At 52.5% G+C, this 13,364-nt stretch overlaps 1 annotated feature.

The window, feature by feature from the left end:
• Window positions 7,852-8,354: an enhancer, noted in NCBI's record as "H3K4me1 hESC enhancer chr22:21756985-21757487 (GRCh37/hg19 assembly coordinates)". NCBI's record gives its function as "activates a minimal SCP1, AML or CMV promoter by ChIP-STARR-seq in primed H9 embryonic stem cells {active_cell/tissue: H9 hESC(primed)}" and the evidence as "EXISTENCE:reporter gene assay evidence [ECO:0000049][PMID:30033119]".

Raw genomic sequence — 13,364 nt, 5'->3', positions numbered from 1 at the left:
CATAATTCATTCTTTAAGAGCTGACAAATGTTCCAGAGTATGGAGCTTCTGTAATTTATTCACACTTCGTTAACCATGGTTGTTCAGTTTATTTACAGTGTGGTGCTTTTTGTTTTCTTTTTTCTTTGTTTTTTTTTTGTTTTTTTTTTTTTTTTGAGATGGAGTCTTGCTCCTGTCACCCAGGCTAGAGTGCAATGGCACAATCTTTGCTCACTGCAACCTCCACCTCCCGGGTTCAAGCAATTCTCCTGCCTCGGCCTCCTAAGTAGCTGGGATTACAGGTATCTGCCACCATGCCTGGCTAATTTTTGTATTTTTCGTAGAGACGGGGTTTCACCATGTTGGCCAGGCTGGTCTTGAACTCCTGACCTCAAGTGATCCACCCGCCTCAGCCTCCCTAAATGCTGGGATTACAGGTGTGAGCCACCGCACCCAGCCTACACTGTGGTGCTATTAAAAAATATTTTTAGGCTGGGCACAGTGGCTCACACCTCTAATCCCAGCACTTTGGGAGGCCGAGGCAGGTGGATCACTTGAGGCCAGGAGTTTGAGACCAGCCTGGTGATCATGAAGAAACCCTGTCTCTACTAAAATATTAGCCAGGCATGGTGTCACATACGGATAATCCCAGCTACTCGGGAGTCTGAGGTGGGAGAATCACTTGAACTAGGGAGGCAGACGTTGCAGTGAGTTGAGATCATGCCACTGCACCCCAGGCTGGACAACAGAGCGAGACCTCGTCTTAAAGTAATTAATTAATTAATTAATTAATATAAATAAAATAGCAGATTTCAAAAATTTGTTCTCCCTGGCAGCAACCCAGTAAAGCTAGATCTGGGCGGAAGGTAATATGGAAATATAAAAACTACAGATTAGCAGGGATGGGAAGACCCGCCAGAAATGGGTTCATTTTGTGTCCTCACTCCCTCCGGATTCTCTGTGTGTCTAGTCCAAGATCTAACCACTATGATCTGCTTTCCTCATCCATTTGGGAATCAGGGCACCACCCCCTTGGGAGGCTTGAATGACAGGAGGTTGAGCAGGCAGAGCACGGAACTCAGGCTCTGGTGAGCCCTGGTACAGTGACTATGATTGTTGTGTCATGTAGGAAGGGTCTGTTATTTTACCATTATCTGTTTTCAATAAAAAACAGAAAGAAAACAAATATACAAAATACCCCCAAACAGTAAATTTCAGCTTCTTACTATGACAGCTAGATTTAGCATTTAACAGTATGCCCAAATTTGAATTTCGGATAAACAACCAATAATGCTTAATATAAGTATGTCCCGGCCGGGCGCGGTGGCTCACGCCTGTAATCCCAGCCCTTTGGGAGGCCGAGGCGGGCGGATCACGAGGTCAGGAGATCAAGACCATCCTGGCTAACACGGTGAAACCCCGTCTCTACTAAAAATACAAAAAATTAGCCGGGCGCGGTGGCGGGCGCCTGTAGTCCCAGCTACTCGGGAGGCTGAGGCAGGAGAATGGCGTGAACCCCAGGAGGCGGAGCCTGCAGTGAGCTGAGATCGTGCCACTGCACTCCAGCCTGGGTGACAGCGAGACTCCGTCTCAAAAAAAAAAAAAAAAGTATGTCCCATACAATATCACTTCTCACCTTCCCATATCCCAAGCTCAAGACACCTTATATACGCCATGATTTCTCCTGCCATCTCTGGGCATTCACACCAGGGCTCCTCCTGTCCAGGCCAGCCTTCTCCCTTCTCCCACCTGTGCCTGGTGAACAACTCAGTTCAGACATCATCTCTTGTAGGAAGTCTCCTGTGATCCCAGGCTAATCACCCTGATACAGTCCTGAAATACTGCTGAGCAGTTGGCATGAGGGCAGGAAGGCTTGGTCTTGTTCACTCTTGTATCCAGCTTATACATGGCACAAAGTAGGTTCTCAATTAAAAGTCAAATGAGGGGCCAGGTGCAGTGGCTCACGCCTGTAATCCCAGCACTTTAGGAGGCCAAGGCGGGTAGATCACCTGAGGTTGGGAGTTCGAGACCAGCCTGGCCAGCATGGTGAAACCCCATCTCTACTAAAACTACAAAAATTAGCCAGACGTGGTGGCAGGCACCTGTAATTCCAGCTACTCGGGAAGCTGAGGCAGGAGAATCACTTGAACCCGGGAGGGAGAGGTTGCAGTGAGCCAAGATTGCGCCATTGCACTCCAGCCTGGGCAACAGAGCAAGACTCCATCTCAAAAAACAAAAAAAGTCAAATGAAGTCGGGCACAGTGGTTCGCGCCTGTAATCCCAGCACTTTGGGAGACTGACGCAGGAGGATCACCTGAGGTCAGGAGTTCGAGACCAGCCTGGCCAGCATATGAAATCCTGTCTCCACTAAAAATACAAAAAAAAAAAAAAAAAAAAATAGCTGGGTGTGGTAATGCACGCCTGTAATCCCAGCTATTTGGGAAGCCGAGGCAGGAGAATTGCTTGAACCCGGGACACAGAGGTAACAGTGAGGTGAGATCATGCAACTGCACTCCAGCCTGGGCTACAGAGCAAGACTCTGTCTCAAAAAAAAAAAAAAAAAAAGTCAAATGAGACCACTCATGGTAGCTGGCGCCTATAATCCCAGCACTCTGGGAAGCCAAGGCGGGAGGATTGCTTGAGTCCAGGAGTTTGATACCAGCCTGGGCAAAACAGTGACATCTCATCTCTACAAAAAATTTTTAAAATTAGCCGGGCATGGTGGCACTCGTCTATAGTACTAGCTACTTGGGAGGCTGAGGTGGGAGGATTGCTTGAGCCCAAGAATTCGAGGTTGCAGTGAGCTATACTTGCGCCATTGTACTATAGCTGGGCAACAGCCAGACGCGGCCTCAAAAAAAAAAAAAATTAGCCGGGCTTGGTGGCATGTACCTATAGTCCCAGCTACTCAGAAGCTAAGACAGGAGGATCATTTGAGCCCAGGAATTTGACGCTGCAGTAAGCCAAGGTCACACCACTGCACTCCCGCCTGGGAGACTGAGTGAGACCCTGAGTCTAAAACAAATAATAATAAAAACGAAAATGAAAGTCAAATGAATGAGGCCAGGGGTGGTGGCTCATGCCTGTAATCCTAGCACTTTGGAAGGCTGAGGTGGGTGGGTCAGCTGAGCCCTGGAGTTACAGACCAGCCTGGGCAACATGGCGAAACCCTGTCTCTACAAATACAAAAAAGAAAAAAGCCAGGCCCATGGTGGTGAGTGCTTGAAGTCCCAGCTACTCAGGAGGGTGAGGTGGGAGAATAGCTTGAGCTCAGGAGGTCAAGGCTGCAGTGAGCTGAGATTGCATCACTGCAGCCTAGCCATGATGACAGGGCAAGACCCAGTAGAAAACCAAGGTTAGAGAGGTTAAGTCACCTGCCCAAGGTCCGTAGCTAACCTCAGACTCCAGCCCCTCAGACTGACATGAGCTCAGTTCACCCTCTTAGGAACACCATCTGAAGAATGCATCCCCAGCAAGCCTATTCCCTATAGCAAAGGCCAGGCCTGTGATGGGTGCCCCGCTCCTCACCACACACCTCCCTGTCAAGTCACCACTCCTTCACCCCTAGCAGAGCCAGGCACCTTGAGCCCAAGGGAGGCCACTCATGGAACTGTCATTCAACCAACAGATGCTGACAGCAATGATGAGGTGGGCACTGGGCTAGTGAACAGCACAGATGTGTTCCCTGGCCTCAGAAGCCCACAGACTAAGGAGAAGATGACAGAATACTCACAAGGGTGCTGGGGCTGGGCAAAAAGGTGCAGGCTGCTTTGTCTGGTCATAAGAGGGGAACTGACTTCCCTGGTCTGAGGAGCCAAGGAAGGGGCCGTGCCCTTGCCATGCCCTCTGCCTGCCATGCCTTGCTGTTCTTCAGTGCCTGCTCTAAGGTCACTCCTAGTGTGGTTTTCTCTGGCTGCTCTTTTGTTTTGTTTTTTTTTTTTTTTTGAGACAGAGTCTCGCTTTGTCACCCAGGCTGGAGTGCAGTGGCACCATCTTGGCTCACAGCAACCTCCGCCTCCTGAGTTCAAGTAATTCTCCTGTCTCAGCCTCCTGAGTAGCTGGGACTACAGGTGTGCACCACTACGCCCAGCTAATTTGTGTATTTTTAGTAGAGACGGGGTTTCACCATATTGGTTGGCCAGGATGGTCTCAATCTCTTGACCTCCGGATCAACTCCCCTTGGCCTCCCAAAGTGCTGGGATTACAGGAGTGAGCCACCGCGCCCGGCCACTTTTTTTTTGGAGTCTCGCTCTGTCCCCCAGGCTGGAGTGCAGTGGCGCGATTTCGGCTCACTGCCAGCTCCGCCTCCCGGGTTCACGCCATTCTCCCACCTCAGCCTCCCGAGTAGCTGGGACTACAGGCGCCCGCCACCACGCCTGGCTAATTTTTTGTATTTTTAGTAGAGACGGGGTTTCACCCTGTTAGCCAGGATGGTCTTGATCTCCTGACCTTGTGATCCGCCTGCCTCGGCCTTCCAAAGTGCTGGGATTACAGGCTTGAGCCACCACGCCTGGCCTCTTTTTCTTTTTTGTTGAGACAGATTCTCACTCTGTCGCCCCCAGGCTGGAGTGCAATGGCGCAATCTTGGCTCATTGCAACCTCGGCCTCCTGGGTTCAAGCAATTCTCTGCCTCAAGCCTCCCGAGTAGCTGAGATTACAGGCGCCCACCACCACACCCGGCTCATTTTTGTGTTTTTAGTAGAGACAGGGTTTCACCATCTTGGCCAGACTGGTCTTAAACTCCTGACTTCGTGATCTACCAGCCTCGGCCTCCCAAAGCGCTGGGATTACAGGCTTGAGCCACCGCACCTGGCCATGCTCTTTCTTTTTTATTTGTATTTTTATCTGTTTCTTAGAGACAGGGTCTCACTCTGTCATCCAGGCTGGAGTGCAGTGGTGTAATCATAACTCACTGCAGCCTCAAACTCATGGGCTCAAGGGATCCTCCTGCCTCAGTCTCCCAAGCAGCTGGGACTACAGGTGTGCACCACTATGCCCAGCTATTTTTTTTTTTTTTTTGAGACAGAGTCTCGCTCTGTCGACCAGGCTGGAGTGCAGTGGTGCCATCTCGGCTCACTGCAACCTCTGCCTCCTGGGTTCAAGTGATTCTCTGCCTCAACCTCCTCAGTAGCTGGATTACAGGTACCTACCACCATGCCAAGCTAATTTTTGTGTTTTTTTTTTTTTTGAGATGGAGTCTTGCTCTGTCACCCAGGCTGGAGTGCAGTGGCGCAATCTCGGCTCACTGCAAGCTCCACCTCTCAGGTTCACGCCATTCTCCTGCCTCAGCCTCCCGAGTAGCTGGGACTACAGGTGTCCGCCACCATGCCCGGCTAATTTTTTGTATTTTTAGTAGAGACGGGGTTTCACCGTGTCAGCCAGGATGGTCTCAATCTCCTGACCTCGTGATCCGCTGGCCTCGGCCTCCCAAAGTGCTGAGATTACAGGCGTGAGCCACCGTGCTCGGCCTAATTTTTGTATTTTCAGTAGAGACACGGTTTCACCATCTTGGCCAGGCCGGTCCTGAACTCTTGACCTCATGATCCACCGGCCTCGGCCTCCCAAAGTGTTGGGGTTATAGACGTGAGCCACCGTGTCTGGCCTGGCTCCACTTTCTTAGGGAGCTTTGCTTGCCCTCTGCTTGGGGTAGTTTGTGAATTCAGTGCTCTGTCTCTCCCAGGTCCTGGGTCTCCTGCTCCTGATCAATCTGCCACGTGCCATTTGATCTCAGAGTTGTCTCCACCATTAGACTGGCAGGGTCTGTCTTCTGGGGTCTGTGTGTAGGATACAGTGGCCCCAGGATGGGTAAAGGAGGGGACCCAGTTGTTCTTCTGTGATAGGTGGAGACAAGGGCCAGCAGGGCTGTTTCTCGGTGAAACCCATGGGGAGATAGTCGAACCAGGAACCAAATCCGGCCGGGCGCGGTGGCTCACGCCTGTAATCCCAGCACTTTAGGAGGCCGAGGTGGGCGGATCACCTGAGTTCGGGAGTTGGAGACCAGCCTGACCAATATGGTGAAACCCCATCTCTACTAAAAAAAAAATATACATATATATACAAAATTAGCCTGGCGTGGTGGCACATGCCTGTAATCCCAGCTACTCGGGAGGCTGAGGCAAGAGAATCACTTGAAACTGGGAGGCAGAGGTTGCGGTGAGCCAAGATCGCACCATTGCACTCCAGCCTGGGTGACAGAGACTCAGTCTCCAAAAAAAAAAGTCCAAAAATTAAAAAAAAAAAAAATGCCGAACTCAGTGGCTCACGCCTATGATCCTACCACTTTCAGAGGCCGAGGCGGGCACGGTGGCGCGTACCTGTAATCCCAGCTACTCCGGAGGCTGAGGCAGAAGAATCACTTGAACCCGGGAGGCAGAGGTTGCAGTGCGCTGAGATCGTGCCACTACACTCCAGTGTGGTGACAGAGCGAGACTTGGTCTCAAAAAAAAAAAAAAGTCCTGGCTGTGCCACTAGGCCAGACGCCCTAGAACTGACTTCTATGGACCTCAGTTTTCATACCTGTGAAATGGAACTCAGAGCCATATCTACTTCATTGGGTTGTGTGAATGTGAGGTAGTTACAGGATGGAGCAGGCAGAAGGTCAGCACAGCCTCAGTGGTTGGAGGAGTGGGGGTCAAGTGGACAGAGAGGGTACCCCAGGGCCAGAGGTAGAGGCAAGGTGAAGCAATGCTTCATTTCCCTGCTGAGGTTCCTCTCTAGCAGTTTGGAGGTGGGGCAGGAGTGGAGAAAACACATCCCCTCCTCAATCTGGGCTGAGGAACAGGGTTCTTGAGGCACCAAGAACCTCTTTGGGGCTCTGGCTTGCCTCCTGTAGTGAAAGGGATGGGCTGTGTGCAATGAACTCACACCTGTAATCCCAACACTTTGGGAGACAGAGTCAGGAGGTCCAGAACAGCCTAGGCAACATAGCAAGACCTTGTTTCTACAAAAAACTTTTTAAAAAATTAGCCAGGCGTGGTGGTGGCACCTGTAGTCCCAGCTACTTGGGAGGCTGAGGTGGGAGGATTGCTTGAGCCTGGAGAGGTTGAGGCTGAAGTGAGCTATGATAGCACCACTGTACTCCAACCTGGGCAACAGAGTGAAACCCTGTGTCTAAAATAAAAAGAGGGCCTGGCGTGGTGGCTCACGCCTGTAATCCCAGCACTTTAGGAGGCCGAGGCAGGCAGATCACTCGAGGTCAGGAGTTCGAGACCAGCCTGGCCAACATGGTGAAACTCTGTCTCTACAGAAGTACAAAAATTAGTCGGGCGTGGTGGCAGGCGCCTGTAATCCCAGCTGCTTGGGAGGCTGACCTGGGAGAATCTCTCGAACCTGGGAGGCAGAGGTTGCAGTGAGCTGAGATCACATCATTGCACTGCAGCCTGGGCAACAAGAGCGAAACTCCGTCTCAAAAAAAAAAAACAAATAATAAAATAATAATAATAATAATAATAATAATAATAATAAAAAGAGGGTGGGAGTGGACCAAGGCCTAATGGCATGGAATTTGCAAACTCTATCTTCCTACTTTTCTCTGGGGAGCCTTCCTCCATCACCAGGGCCCAGCAGGGCCTCAGATGGCGGGGGGTGGGGCGGGGGCTACACATATCCCTCATGGCCAAGATGCTAGGAAGCCCCTGAGCTGGGGCAACAGCCTCTGGTCACAGTCATGAGGGAGGCTGGGTGCAGTAGCGCTTATCTCGCCTGACCTTGTGGAGACTGACCACTCCCTCCTTCTGGAAAACGTTGCCCCCTGCCCTCTCCAAGGCCTCCTCCTTCTTACATCCCCTGGTCCTGGCTAGGGCCTCAGCACCCAATTCTACTCCTTGACCCACCACCCTGTGGTGCTTTTGCCGGGCCCCAGCCCACAGCCATCTGCCAAACACCTCCCCCTGGAGTCCCTGCGGCGTCTCTGACTCAGCAGGTCTGTGCCTGCCCCTGCTGTTCCCCCCACCCAGTGGCTCTGCAGAGCACCCTGTTGCCCAAGCCCTGAGTGCTGGCCACTCCCAGGGCCTCGCCTTCCCCCACCACCAGCACCACCAATTTGAATTCCTATCTCTCCCTCTGGCCTCCTCCCTAGACCCAGGCCCTGCCCCAGGGTGGGGGAAGGAATCCTATAGATAAGGGCATTGGTCAAAGGGACACACCTGGGTTCGGGCCCCCAGCTCTGCCCCCAACCTGCTAAATGACCACACCCCTCTCCAAATCTGAGTTATTCCCTATGTAAAAGGGGGAAATAATTAAACTAGCTGGGTATGCTGTGCTGAGCAATATGTGAGCTCAGGAAAGGTCAGTTTTCCAGGGGAAGTATGGCCGCTGAGAGCCTCAGTCTAGTGCTTCTCATTCACGAGCTGGTTGGTGCCTTTCCTAAGTTGGAAATGGGTTAGTCCACAAATCCCGTTGCCTGGTCCATGCCAGGTCCAGGTACCTGCATTCAGGGTGCAGGGTGGAGTAAGACAGTCTGAAGGGAGAGGTAGCAGGATGAATGAGTAATTCCTGGGTGCGTTTTGGGATTATGCCTAAGGGCTGTCCGAGCACGTGGGAGGGGTAGCTAAATCCTGTAAGGGAGGGGAGAATGGGGAAGGCTGCCTGCAAGAGGTGGTGGAGGGTGCTTTCAAAGGATACCTGGGAGTGAGCTGGCTGTAGGCACAGGGCAGCTGGAAGGCCAATTTTAGGGAAGAGGAAATTGAGGCTGAAAGTCAAAAAACAAAGGAACTGCCTGAGGTCTCTCAACTGAGAAGTGAGTGGGCCAGGGTTCACATTCAGCCCCCACTCCATTCTCAGGCCGGGCAGGAAGGTACTTTGCCCTCAGGAGGGCACCTTCGACCCAAAGCACCCTGACCAAGAGGCTGTGCACCGTGGCAACCCTAAGACTGAGGCCCAGGTCCTGGAGTTCCACCAAGGTAGGTACAACCAGCCAGGCCGTCAGTGACAGGAGGATTTACTGGGGCTTCTAGGGACCCCGTGAAAGGGCAAAAAGACGGCACAGAAGCCTGTGGATATCAGATATAGATAGTGAGGGCTAGGGCTTTATGGGGAGGGTGGATGGGCCCTGTGGGCGGGGGATGTTTAGGAGATCTTCCAAACAGAGCATTCCAGCCTGGGGGAACAACCCATTATAGACCCCACCCAGCACCGAAGACAGGGACAGGTGGGGCTGAGCCTGGAGGCCGGCAGGACCTGTGCGGCCGGCTGCGGTGTCAGCAATGCCACCGTGTGTGGAACCCTCTGTGCCTAGGTTCCTGGAGCCAGCTCCACCTGGCAATGTGCTTTGTTTCACAAGACTAGAGTTGGCCCATCTTGTTCCGCCTCAGATGGAACACCTGACCTCCTGCACACCCCACCCAGCCTCCAAATTCAACCACCCCAGTAGTGAGACAGGGAGAGTAGGGTGTGACCAGAAGGTGGAATGAGCTTAAAATAGGCTGCAGAGATATCTCTGAGCTTTTAAAAAGTCGTATCTTTCATATCGTGTTCTTGTGAAATCTTCTCCAGATTTTTTACAATGACTCTGAAATTGATCAGTTAGCCTCATGCTTTCAAAATCCATAGCCGCAGTGAGCGAGAGGGGGCAGGTCAGCTAGAGGTGGAGGGGGCAGATGGGCCAGAGGCGCCTGGGCAGGGGTGGATGGGGCCTGGACAGGCTTAGTGACCCTTGCACCAGAACTCTCCGGACACCGCCCCTTCGCCCACTCGTTAGGCTCCTCTGCCTTCGGGCCGGCTGGGCTGCCCATCCCCGCTCGTTCCCCTCCTGGGCAGGTCTGGACTGGACAGGTTTTGGGCCTCCAGGTCGTGCAGTCAGTCAGGGAAGGGGCCTGGTGCAGGCCACAGCCAGGCATCCACCTCCTTCCCAGCCCACCCCTACCCCCCAGCAGCCTGCCAACTTGCTAGACCTGTGCGGCCTTCCCTTCTGCTGAAAGTCTCCAGATTCTCAGGGCTCTGCACGGGGAGCCAAGCTGGGGCTTAGAACTGTGCTCCCTTGCCCCCACCCCCGACCTGTGCCCTCATCAGCTTTCTTTTTTTTTCTTTTTTCTTTTTTTTTTTGAGACACAGTCTCGCTCTGTCGCCCAGGCTGGAGTGCAGTGGTGCGATCTCAGCTCACTGCAACCTCTGCTTCCCGGGTTCAAGCAATTCTCCTGCCTCAGCCTCCTGAGTAGCTGGGAGTATAGGTGCGTGCCACCACACCCCGCTAATTTTTTGTATTTTTAGTAGAGACGGGGTTTCACCGTGTTGGCCAGGATGGTCTCCATCTCCTGACTTGGTGATCCACCCGCCTCGGCCTCCCAAAGTGCCGGGATTACAGGCGTGAGCCACCGCGCCCGGCCTGTTTTAAATTTTTTTTGTAGAGACAGAGTCTCACCATGTTGCCTAGGCTTGTCTCGAACTCCTGGTCGCAAGTGATCCTCCCCTCTCTGCCTCCGCCGTAGCTGGGATTGCAGGCACAAGCCATGACGCCCCCCTTCTCATCAGCTGTCTGGGTCTTTCTCGGGGTCCTGACACCAGGCCAAGTGTTCTGCACACCTGACCTGCTCAAAACAAAACCAGTTCTGCCACAGTCTGGGAACATGAGGCTCAGAGAGGCCTTGCAGCTGTCTGTGAGCAGGCTGGCATTTGGATCCAGTGACTGGGTTCTGGAGCCCAGTGGCTCTGTGGCCCTGCCTCTCCAGCCTTATGCTTCTTTAAAACTGCCCATGGCCTCTGAAGTTGAGGATTTAGGGGAGCAGGGCTGCCAGAGGGGTGAAGAAGGAGATCTTTCTGTGGGTGGGTGTCAGAATGACCGGGCCTGACACTGGTCCCTGCTCCCCTGGAAGGACAGCCCCTCTCGGTTATGTGGGGGGTGGGCTGCCTAGGGTGCTCTGGGGAGAAGGGAGGGAGAGAATGGGGCTGGTCGGGTGGGGTGTGGATTCCAGGCCTGCTTGGTCAAAAAGATACAGTATTTCCTATTCCCCCTTACACTGGGCAGGCAGGTGTGGCCCAGGCAGCTCTGCCAGGTGTGCAGCCCCTGGAGAATGACCCTTAAGTGCACCTAGGCTGCCCCCTGGCGGCAGCATGAGGTCCTCCTCCCTGGACTTGTAACCCTCCCAGGGGGAGGAGGTCCACACCAGCTGATGGGTTGGCACCTGTCCCCAGTCCCTTTCTTCTTTCCTGTGCCACTGCTCCCAGAGTTGCCCAAAACACACGATCAGGTGCAGTGGCTTGAACGAAACCCTGTCTCTACGGAAAATACAAAAATTAGCCAGGCATGTTGGCTCATGCCTACAGTCCCAGCTACTTGGGAGGTTTAGGTGGGAGGATCGACAGCCCAGGAAGTCAAGGCCGCAGTGAGCAGTGAGCTGTGGTTGCGCCACTGTACTCCATACTGTAGCCTGGGTGACAGAGTGAGACCTTGTCTTTTTTTTTTTTTTTTTTTGAGACGGAGTCTCACTGTGTCATCCAGGCTGGAGTGCAGTGGCGCGATCGGCTCACTGCAAGCTCCGCCTCCCGGATTCATGCTATTCTCCTGCCTCAGCCTCCCGAGTAGCTGGGACTATAGGCGCCCCTCAGCCTCCTGAGTGCTGGGACTACAGGCGCCCGCTACCACGCCTGGCTAATTTTTTTGTATTTTTAGTAGAGACGGGGTTTCACTGTGTTAGCCAGGATGGTCTCGATCTGCTGACCTCGTGATCCACCCGCCTCGGCTTCCCAAAGTGCTAGGATTACAGGCGTGAGCCACTGAGCCTGGCCGAGACCTTGTCTTAATTAAAAAAAAAAAAAAAAAAGATAAAAACCTAGGTAACATGCTGGGGGGTGATGAGGGTTATGGAGGAAAATAAAACAGGTGGGGGCTGGAGTGAAGAGTGGGGGTGCCCCTCATAACTCTGACAAAGACTACAACGCAGCTGTCAGAAAAAAAGCTGATTTGAGGCAATGGTCAGGGAAAGTTGTGAAATTAAGTAAAAAGTGATGGAACAGGCTAGGTGGGAAGTGGTGGCTCACACCAATAATCCAAGTGCTTTGAAAGGCCAAGCAGGAGGATCTCTTGAGGCCAGGTGTTTGAGATCAGCCTGGGCAACATAGCAAGACCCTGTCTTTACAAAAAATGTAAAAATTAGCTGGAGGCTAGGCTCAGTGGCTCATGCCTGTAGGGAGGCCAAGGTAGGTGAATTGCTTGAGCCCAGGAATTTGAGACCAGCTTGGGCAACATGGCAAAATTCCATCTGTACAAAAAAATTGCCAGGCATGGTGGCTCATGCCTGTAATCCTAACACTTAGGGAGGCCAAAGTGGGCAGATTACCCGAGGTCAGGAGTTTGAGACCACCCTGGCCAACATGGTGAAACCTCGTCTCTACTAAAAATACAAAAATTAGCTGGGCGTGGTGGCGCATGCCTGTAATCCCAGCTACTCGGGAGGCTGAAGCAAGAGAATTGCTTGAGCCTGGGAGACAGAGGTTGCAGTGAGCCTAGATCGTGCTACTGCACTCCAGCCTGTGTGACAGAGCAAGACTATGTTTCAAAAAAAAGAAAAATTAGCTAGGTGTGGTGACATGCACCTGTAGTCCCAGTTACTCAGGAGGCTGAGGTGAGAGGATCACTTGAGCCCAGGAAGTTGAGGCTATGATCGTGCTACTGCATTCCAGCCTGGGTGACAGCCAGATTCTGTCTCAAAAATCAAAACACAACAGGGCACAGTGGCTCACTTTGGCCTTCCAAAGTGCTGGGATTACAGGTCTGCACCACCATGCCTGGCCTGAGAGTGCATGAATTAAAGTTTCTATTCTCTTGCTAGTCTGTCATTGCTTCCCTAGTGTGTGGGAACCATACTTGTCCCCACTTCTCAGTCAGAGAGCAGCCTGCCAACCTCCAAGTCTCTTGCCCCTGACCCAAAAGGTCCCAGGCTGTCCTCTCGGCAGAAGCAGCTGTCTTGTGGCTTGCTGTGCTCAGACTCCATTTCTAGGCTGTGGGCTCATCAGGGATCTAGTGCTTTGAAAAAGTGTAAAGGAGAGCAGCAGTATTATTCACAATAGCTAAAAGGTAGAAACGACCAAAGTATCCATTGACAGATGAATGGATAAACAAAATGCATTACATACACACAATGGACTATTATTCAGCCTTAAAAAGGAAGGAGGCCAGGTGTGGTGGCTCACACCTATAATCCCAGCGCTTTGGGAGACTGAGGCAGGCGAATCACTTGAAGCCAGGAGTTGGAAACCAGCACAGACAGCATGGGGAAACCCCCTCTCTACTGAAAATACAAAAGTTAGCCAGGTGTGGTGGCACATGCCTATAATCCCAGCTACTCTGGAGGCCAAGGCATGAGAATCGCTTGAACCTAGGAGGTGGAGGTTGCAGTGAGCCAAGATCATGCCACTGCACTCCAGCCCGGGTGACAGAGTGAGACACTGTC

Source organism: Homo sapiens, chromosome 22 (assembly GCF_000001405.40).
Source record: "Homo sapiens chromosome 22, GRCh38.p14 Primary Assembly".
In the NCBI taxonomy this organism is placed as follows: Eukaryota; Metazoa; Chordata; class Mammalia; order Primates; family Hominidae; genus Homo; species Homo sapiens.
This window is presented reverse-complemented; position numbering and strand designations above follow the sequence as displayed.